At 48.4% G+C, this 9,655-nt stretch overlaps 1 long non-coding RNA gene across 2 annotated transcripts, besides 1 other annotated feature; it reads right to left on the bottom strand.

Moving 5' to 3' along the window:
* Nucleotides 1,574-2,543: an enhancer, noted in NCBI's record as "NANOG hESC enhancer chr10:85668303-85669272 (GRCh37/hg19 assembly coordinates)". NCBI's record gives its function as "activates a minimal SCP1, AML or CMV promoter by ChIP-STARR-seq in naive H9 embryonic stem cells {active_cell/tissue: H9 hESC(naive)}" and the evidence as "EXISTENCE:reporter gene assay evidence [ECO:0000049][PMID:30033119]".
* Nucleotides 2,614-8,362, bottom strand: LOC107984181 (uncharacterized). Of its 2 annotated transcripts, none has more exons than XR_001747301.1 (3): nucleotides 8,198-8,362; nucleotides 7,396-7,683; nucleotides 2,614-2,981 (listed from the first exon to the last, which is right to left on the bottom strand). It is a non-coding gene; the product is annotated as an uncharacterized LOC107984181 (long non-coding RNA). The 2 variants fall into 2 exon arrangements; XR_001747300.1 differs by lacking the exon at nucleotides 2,614-2,981 and adding an exon at nucleotides 5,336-5,948.
* Between the last annotated feature and the right edge of the window lie 1,293 nt (nucleotides 8,363-9,655).

Below are 9,655 nucleotides of genomic sequence, written 5' to 3' on the forward strand. Positions count from 1 at the left end.
CTGCCCAAGTGTCAGACATGGAGAGGTTTCCAGAGAATTCCAGCCCCCAGCCATTCTAATCACCCCCCCGCTAACTATTCAAGTCTTTCCAGCTGAGACCTTAGATATCATAGAGCAAAGAAAATCCATGCAGGCTGCATCCTCTCTAAATTCCCATTTGTTGCATTTGTTTGGAGGCCTCAGGCGGTCCCAGTTAACCAGCTTTCTCAGGGTGACTTTTCCCCTTGGGTCTCATTCACAACAAAGATGAGTCTTAGGCAGTGTCTGATGTTCACACAGTTTATGCTGGCAGTGCTCTCACAGCATGAACAACAGGAACAGGCCAGTGGCACAGGCCAGATACAGTCAGGGGTCCGAGGACCTCCAGACTGAGAGATTCTCCATACAGAAACTAATTTCAGAGTTTGGGAGATTCTTCCCCATTTCTTATTCCTGTGTTCAATCCAAGTCAGTTACCAGGTATTTCTTTCATAAAGGGAATCTAAGCTGTTCTTGTAAGGGGAAGCTTTATTTTAAGGTTCATGATAGTTGGATCTGTGCTGAGGTGGTCTTGCCTCCTGGAAATCTCCAGTCTAGGCTGCATGACACTGCTAAGTGACACATAGGGTAGGCCCTACAAGATATTTGCAAGGGCCTTATGGCTGTCATTATTCTTATAGTCACAATATGTCTATTATAGTATACTACACATATGTAAATTGTTGCCGTTTTAAGTCATTGAGTTTTGAGGTAGTCTGTTATGCTTCAGTAATAACCAGAACACAGAGTGAAGATAAATGACAAAATAGAGGAGAAAGAGGCACATTTAATACCAAGACACTGCAGGCAGTAGAGTTAGGCGTGACCCCAGGACACAGCCAAAATGTAAAAAGGAAAGTGAATGATAAGAAACAATATTAGCCTCTAAGGATTAATTATCTATACTGCAAACCAATTTCTGGATGCTAGTAACACATGTAAATGGCTACCATCACATCAATCATGAAGGTATGAGATTATTCTCCAAGGAAGTACCAACTGGACATTGTATATTTTTTCTATACAACGAAGACAGCTTTCTCTTTTGCCAGACTCAACCTTCCCAGACCCTCTTTGGCCTGCAGCATCAGCCTCACAAAGCCTCCTGGTGAATGCTCTTCAACACACCCAGTTATCAGGAAGCTGGACTCCACCAGCCTTGGGGGCTCTGGGTTCTGTGAGCCCCCCCATCCCAGAGCTGCTCCACACCTTGAAGATTCAGTCCATCTGACTGTGTGTCCAGCAACCCAGCTTGGGACAACTGCCCTCGTGTCTTGGACTTCTACATCCCACTGAAAAGTTAGCACCCCTTCACCTGTGTGAGCTGGACCCTGCCCCACTTCAACTCCTGGCTGGCATCTTGCATGTACCAGACACACCGTCTGACCTGGATGCTTTCGCAGGGTGGGGCCAGAGTCCTCCCGCCCCTTTGCATGTCTCTAGAGTGGACAACTGGCTACCCCACTTCAGATAACTGCTCTGAAGTTCAGTTAGTCCTCCAAGCCCCCATACCAGCTTCCTCTAGCTGCACAGTGACCTGCCTTGCAGCAAAGCCACCAAAGTTGTGACAACTCTTGCAGAAAGTGAAACATCCCAACAACCACATTTGCCCACCTGGATCCATTGTGAAACCTCTTTTCTTTTAAGCACTTCCTTTGGTGACTCCCCCAACACCACTGAGGGAAGTCCAACGTATGCCAGCTCAGTGCTTCCTTGATTTACTTGTGGCAGCCTGCAAAGCAAGCCTGCCTCTATGGAGCTGTTTATCTAAGTGGGTCATTTAAGTTCAGATTGCCAGTTAATACCTGTGGAGCTGAGTCCCAGCTTACTCAGCTCTGGGACTAGCGGAAAGACTTAATAGACCTCAACCTCTCACAGGTTGGCAGTTTAAGCAGAAATTTCCAAATCTGCCAAAGGAACAGCTTTGCTGCTTCAGTTGCTAGAAGGGGGAACCAAGTGGAGAACGTGATGGCCTATTAACCCTTCTGCCAAGAAAACTGGGTTGCAAGGTTAAGGAGCAGTGCCTCAAGGGTCACAGGCATCTGCGGATACCTCCTGTGGTCCAGTGATAAGCATCAGAGAAACGCCCAACAATGCACTCGTTCTTTCTCCTAGAGAGAGGGGAGGGGGAGGCGGTCTGAGTGGGTGGGAGGAGAACTTCTGAGGCTTGATTGAGCCCCATTGTGAAGCTGTCGGGGAAGATTGCACAGCTGGGCTAAGTGTTGTATTCAGCAAAGCACATGATGGACACTGCTTTTGTACCAGGGACACTTCAATCAGCACGGAGCCTTAGACAGCTGAGAAAATTAAAGCCTTTTCAAGCCCTTTCACAACACACCTGATTTCTGCGTTAAAGTTGGGGGTGGATGGGCAGTGTGTTGGGTAATTGCCAGCCCTGAATGTCACCATAGGCGACAGGCTCACTCTGATCTTCTCAGACAATGGGGGAAAGCCAGCCCTCCCGATATTTAGGCAGCCCCGTGCGCTAGTGATAGCCATTGGCCTCAGAAGAGGCATGCTGGGCCATGATCCCACTAACTTTCAGCCCCAACTTCACCTTGCATTGAAGGGTAGGATCCAGAGATTTCTGACCCCAAGTCACAGGACTGAGCTGTCAGGGAAGCCAGCTGATTTGGCAGCAGAATTCTCCCCAGACAGCAAGCAGCAAGTACCAAGCAGTGAGGAGGGAGAGGTGAGTCTGGTGTTCTGTAGGAAACAGCTAGGGTGGCCCATCATCAGATCCACAGGATGTAGGTAATCCACATTCTGATCAGGCTGATGGTTCTTTTGAGGGAAACTGAAGGTGTTCTCAGCAGTTAGCAGGGAGGGCCAGGTGTCGTGGCAGTGGCCTGTCCTAGCAGTGCAAGCAGAGTGTTGAGAAGACCTGGACATCTAGTCTGCTCTGTGTGAGGTTCAGAACTAGGTGGCTTACACACTCAGTTTCTTGGAATCCTCATAGCAACCTAATTGACAGAAAAAAAAAAAACTGAGGTTCTGAGAAGTTTAGTGACATGCTCAAAGTCACACAGTTAATTACAGAGATGAAATTCAAACCTGCCTCTCTAAGACCCCTCAACGGTGTTTGGTTCATACAAAACCAAAGGAAGATGGTGATGCTCAGATCTTGCTGGGCTCAGGACTGCAATGCTGTTCTTCTAGGGAGATGGACCTTAAGTGAGGAAGCAGGGAGCCAGGCAGGAAAAAATCTGTCCTGCTAGAGATTAGCTGTAGGGGAGGCGGGGCAAAGCTCCTGCAGGTCCCCTGTGGCCCATGTCATTCTGGTGAAGCAGATATCAAAGTGGGGAGAGCAAGTATCTTCAGCTCCCCCATAACCTTCTATAATGTCTTCTGAAATATAATGCAATGCAAGATGGCACTCTCCTTGGCTCAGAGACCCCCTCACAGGGAGCCCTCTGAACACAGTATATGAAGCTGGCTGAAGCCAGGAGACACAGACTGGCAATCTGCCCACTTCATGCTTTGAAAAACTCAGGTATTCATGGAAATTCCTTAGAGGCATGGTCTCAACTCTCACCTTTGGCTCTGCATGCTCCAGATATTGATACTGATCAATACAAAAGACAAGAAGTGATAGCCCAACTCATTAATTATCTCCTCAGAGATGAGACTAGTTAGTTCTTCCATTACTTTGAAGTTATCCTTATCTCATCATCTCTTTGAGCAGATATCTTTCAGAGCCCTAGAAAGAACACAGGGTCTGCCTGAGGCCATGTATTTGAGCCCAATGCCTGTGACTGCTGTGGGGTTCCCATCCTTGCACTTGGACTCTTAACCTCCACAGAGCCTAGGTTGGGGGAAGTTGTCGTTACTCAGCATCCATTTGGAAGGTTGGCAGCAGCTGGAGCTAGCAGATCAAGTCTTCAATCCCAGGTCCTGCAGGAGCACAGCCAAGGCAGGATCCCTGCTGACACCGTGGCTGAGGTCAGCCCCAAGCTTCTCCAGCTCATTCCCGCCTTCAAGGATTTGCAGTTGCTGTTACCTCCCTCAGACCATTTTCTCCAGACTCTGGCTCAGCTGGCACCTTATTTTTATTCAGATGATAACTCAAATGTCACCTCTTTAGGGAGAGCTTATCCAACAACCTGAATTCTTTTTCTTCTTAGCACTTAACACTATCCAGGTTATCCTGTTCACAGGTTTGTGTGCATGTGCCTGTGTGTCTCTTTCACTAGGACATAGATTCTATGAAATCGGGGACCTCATTCCTCTCATTCATGGCTGCCTCACTGGGACCAACGACAATGCCTGCACAAATAGCCAGTGCTCAATAATACATGAAAATGCATTCAGAGGAATCTCAAATGCCACTGACAGTGTGGAATTTATGCTTCTGCCATTGGTCACAGGAGTGGAGATGAGGGCTAGCTCAGTAGAAGTTTCAGTGGCTCACTTTCAGTGTGAGTACAAAGGTGTATGCAGCAGAAAGCATGGTTCATGGCACAGTGACAGGCACAGTGGAGAGGCTCTTGGTATCAGCAGATAAGCCTGGGACCAAGGGTTGGAAGTAAATAAGGTCAGAATAGTGAAGCTCTTACCATAAGGCCCACATGTGAAAAAACACTCAATTTCTGGTGCAGAAGACTAAGGTGTCTGTCTTAGTCAACCTGGACTGTCATAACAAAATACCATGGAGTAGATGGCTTAAACCACAAACATTTATTTCTCACAGTTCTGGAGGCTGAAAGGTCAAGATCAGAGTGTCAGCATGGTCAGGTTCTGATGAGAGCTCTCTTCCTGGCTTACAGATGGCCACCTTCTCACTGTGCTCACATGGCCTTTCTTCCATACATGTGCATGGAGAGAGAGAGAGAGAGAGAGAGAGAGAAAGAGAGACAGAGAGAGAGAGAAGTCTGGTATCTCTTCTTCTAATAAGGCCACTAATCTTATTGGATTAGGCCGCTATCCTATAACCTCATTTAACTTTCATTACTTCCATAAAAGCCCTATCTCCAAATACAGTCACATTGGGGGTTAGGGTTTTTTCTTTGTTTTGCTTTTTTTATTTTTGTTTTTTGTTTTTTTGCTTTTTTGTGTGTGTTTTTTTGAGACGGAGTTTTGTTCTTGTTGCCCAGACTGGAGTGCAATGGCATGATCTCAGTTCACTGCAACCTCTGCCTCCTAGGTTCAAGAGATTCTCTTGCCTCAGCTTCCCAAGTAGCTGGGATTACAGGTGCGTGCCACCACGCCCAGCTAATTTTTTGTATTTTTAGTACAGACAGGGTTTCCCCATGTAGGCCAGGTTGGTCTCGAACTCCTGATCTCAGATGATCCACCACCTCCATCTCCCAAAGTGCTGGGATTACAGATGTGAGCCACCGCGCCCAGCCAGGGGGTTAGGGTTTTAACTTACAGATGTTGAGGGGACTCAACCCAGTTCTTAGCAGTGGTTAGGGCTACCTGGGGCCCCTGGCATATACTGCTCCAGCAATAGCCTCCCAGCTGGACTGACCATAGCACTAAGGAAGAGTGATGGCTAATCCCCCAGGAGGCATGTGCTGATCATGCTGAGACAGAGACAATACCACAATCCCAGATGGACACCCCCGGCCTCCTGGGATGAGTTGACAGGCCAAAGCCTACTGGAGCTGACCATCATGTGTCCAGCGTCAGGGTCCACATGCAAAGTGGCCTTCACTGAGGGCAAGGACGAACAAGACTCCAGTTGACAGCACCATTAGAAGTGCTGGATGGGCCCTAGCAAGGCTTCACTCAGAATGTCAAGTTGCTGGCACTGCTTACAAGAGGAGCAGGGTGAGAGGGCCATGAACCATGGGCAGTGGCAGAAGTCGAGGAAAGCCTTGGCATCTCCAGTCACGTTCACAGATGACAGGTAGGTAAAGGTGGTGACAGAAAAGACTTCCAGCCCCTTCAAAACAGCCCCGCAGGAGTGGCACCTCCTCAGGCATTTCCTAATAGGAGAAGTGGGCGATGAGGGCAGGAGAAGCAGTGCCTCCTACAGGGCAGCTCCAGCCTGCGTGCTCCTGCCCACGCCGGGTCCTTGGTGCCACTGCTAGAACGTGCAGGGCTACCAGTGCCAGACACTTTGGGTTGAGCCAAAAGAGCCCCCTCCCTTGCATCTGAAGACCCTTCAGCTGCCCACGGTAGGAGCCACGGAGGCCAGAGAGAAAGGAAAGGACATAGCACAGTTAGATTTTCTTGTGAGCAAAGGGCTCCACAGAAAAGCTGAGGAAGCCAAAGGATGGCATCATCAACATTGTCATCCTTCTTCTCCTCATCATCTTCTTGACCTAACAGTCAAGAGCAGGGACTCTTGATTGTGTGAGCTGGAGTGTCTGCTCGGACACTCTAGCTGTATATAGCTGTATGACCTGTAGAATGGACACTACTCTGCTTCTGTTTCCCCATCTATAAGATGGAGCTAATAATAGAACTTAATTCATACGCTAGTTGTAAGGGTTAGATGAGTTAACACGGTTAGTGGTTAATACAGGTAAAGCATGGCAGGAGCACTCAGTGAATGCTTGTTATTATTGTAGTTCTTACCATGGACAAAGCTACCATGTATTTAGGACATATTGTGCATTAGGCACAATACTGAGGACCGTGCAACAAGCATCTTAATTTTTCTGTCTCTATATAGAAGTCTACATAGATATTTCTATCTGTATATAGAGTGAGATCTATAAAGATGTGTGTGCGTGCGTGCGTGTGTGTGTGTGTGTGTGTGTGTGAATGGTACTTAGAGATATTAAGATTGCCCAAAGTCACTGAAATACCACAGTAGGGCTTCAAGCCCACATCTCTCTGACTCTCAAGCAGAAATTCTTCAACACAATGCAGAAGAACATGTTACTCTCCTTTGTGGCTTAGACAGTAGTCAGTGTTCCAGAACATGGGTAGGTTTGTCCCCTACTCATGGTCTCTAGTGCTCAGATGTGCAAGGACATGTGGCTTCTGCAGGAATGTGAGGGCCCAGCCACTGCAGAGCTTTTTTCTTCTTTAGAGGCCAGCCCATGTAGAAATAATAGGTATCATGCAGCCATGCTGATGCACACTGCAGCTGTGCTCTGGGGAGAAAATTCCTGCAGGCCTTGGCACATCATAGTCACAGAGGAGCAAAGTGGCTAGCAAATATTCAAGACCCCTCCTTTGTCCTTGAACTTCCAGTATCTGCAACTCTCCTGTACAAGGGACTCTGCTCTTAGGCTTGTATTCTAAGTACCTGGAATATAATAGGAAATTCAGGAAGCTAGGACAGGAGTGATAACCTGGGGATGACACAGGCTAGAAGGTTGTTGAGTTTGAGCAGGCTTAGTGCTTTCACAAATAACCCCCCACCCACCCCAGCCGCCAGCCTCAGTGGCTTAATACAGCAAAGGTCTTTTTCTTGCTCACATCACAGACCACACGGAATCAGCAGAAAGGGGGGATGAGGAAGAGTTGTTCTGCTCCATGCAGTCCTCCAGGGGCCCAGGCACCCTGCATTTAGTTGCTCCTCTATCTCCTAGATGCCTTGGAATCCTGGAGGCTTTGGAACTCTATGCTGGATCTTCTGCATCTGGCTGGCCAACAAGGCAAGAATGAGCCACCGTGGAATGCACAGAGGAGGTATTTAGGTTGCCAGGCCTGGAAATGACACACATCACTGCCATCCACCTTCCACTTGCCAAAACTCTCACAGACCTGCAAGGACAGAAATGTAATTAAGCTGTGTGTCCTAGGGGTGTGGGGGAATGGAAATTGATAAAATGCTAAGATTCTCTGCTACCCATTTCTTTGAGTATTTGCTGGGCATGTGTAACTTAAAACATGGCAGGGATTAATTTCTCCAACCTGGATTCCCCTTGGCACAGTCCAAATTTCCCACCACCTTGGAGTTCTGACACAAACGAAACAAAAGGAGGCAAATCTTTCAATGTTCTGTTCGGTCCCTCTTCATCTTGTCGAGTTCAGAAATACAAACTCCCTGGGGGAGCCTCTATTATTTTGAGAATGGCCCAGCTGTGCGTTTCAATTATACACCAAAGGAATTTGGATGCGTGGGTGCAGCCACACTAAGAAACTCTGCAAAGCAGGGCTCACCTAGAGGACACTCCTGCCACTTACATACCCTCCCCTCTCCATACATGCGTCTGGAGGTCCTGGGACAAAGCTTACCCAGGTAAGCATGAACTCTCTATGGAGCCAGCTCCCTCACCTGAGGTTTCTGGAGCCCACAGGAGATGGGCAACCTCCAAAGTACTGCCATTCTCCTGTGGCAAGTGCAGGAGCCAGGAGGACTGCAGTGCATCTGCTATTAATCCTGTGATTCTGCAAGTATTTGTTGAACAACAGTTGTGTGCCAGGTACATGAATAGGCAGCAGGATCTAAACAAGTAAATAAACAACAACAAAAAAACAATTAAAAGAAAGCTTTTGCCTAAGTAGAATTTATGGTCGAGGGGGAACGGTGTAACCAGAAAATAAGAAAATACAATTTAATGTGGTATCTGCTGAGATAGGGGAGGTAGAAAATGCTTCCAGAGCTCAGAAGGGGCATCTGAGCCAGGTTTCGGGAACCAGGGAAGGCTCTGCACCTTGAGCCATGCCTCAGCAGAGACCTGTAGGATGAGACGATGCTACTCACCCAGATGAAGAGGGCTAAAGATGTCTGATCAGAAAGTGAGAAGAGCATGAGAGCAACAGCCTAAAGAGAGAAACACCAAGTCATTCGGGAGGCTGGAGAATGGAGTTTGAAAGAAAAAAGGAGCAAAAGAAGCCTAGCAGAGAAGTATTGAATCCTATAGTGTCTCCTTAAGACATTTGGACATTATCCAAAGGGAAAGTGGACAGGTCCTGAAGAATTTAAAGGACAGGTTGGTGTAGAAAATTCACTCTCTGGCTGGCATTTGACAGGTCAAGGTCAGGGTGTGAGGCTGCAGTTGAGCAGAATGATGAGAAGACAGGCCCAGAGGAAGATGCAATAGGTATTGGTGGTGGGGGAGGGGTCCTTCCATGCCCAAAGTCCACATTCCAGCAGGCTTACCCATGAGGGCCCCCCAGGCTGCTACAGCAACAGCAACAGCAGTGACAGGTTAGATTGGGGCTGAGGTTCTGGCCTCATGTGCCCAGAGACCATGCACTTCTACAGCTGGCACATCTGGTGCAACTAGGAGCTCTGCCTGTGTGAGTGTGTCTCAGGAAGCCAGGGTGCTCTCCTCTCTATGCGACCCTGCAGGCAGCAGCACTTCCCTCGGGAGACATGGCCACATTCTGAGCATCAAACAGCCTCAGTATTTCATCTTGCAAGACTGCCCAAGCCTCCCTGTAGGGGCTCTTGCCAGCCCTGCATACCGTAGCCACTGCCAGATTAGCACAGTCTTGTGGGTGCAGGGTGAGAAAAGGGATAACATGGTGTAGGGCGGAAACATGGCCCCTGCCCAGTGAGCTTTGGGATGAGGTGCTGGTTAGAGCAGGTAGAGCTGCAGACAGCAGCCTGCCAGGAGAGGACTGGCAGAGACCTGGGGCCTCTGTAGCAGCATTTCACACACTCCCCTGGGCTTCCTACCCTTAGATTCAGGAATGGGTCAGAGGCGCTCCAAAGGGACCTCAGGTAGACTTTGGCAATGTCCTTAAGCAGGTGGCATAGGCAGCAGCCAAGGGCCAATTCAGCTGC

This window comes from Homo sapiens, chromosome 10 (assembly GCF_000001405.40).
Source record: "Homo sapiens chromosome 10, GRCh38.p14 Primary Assembly".
Taxonomy (NCBI): domain Eukaryota; kingdom Metazoa; phylum Chordata; class Mammalia; order Primates; family Hominidae; genus Homo; species Homo sapiens.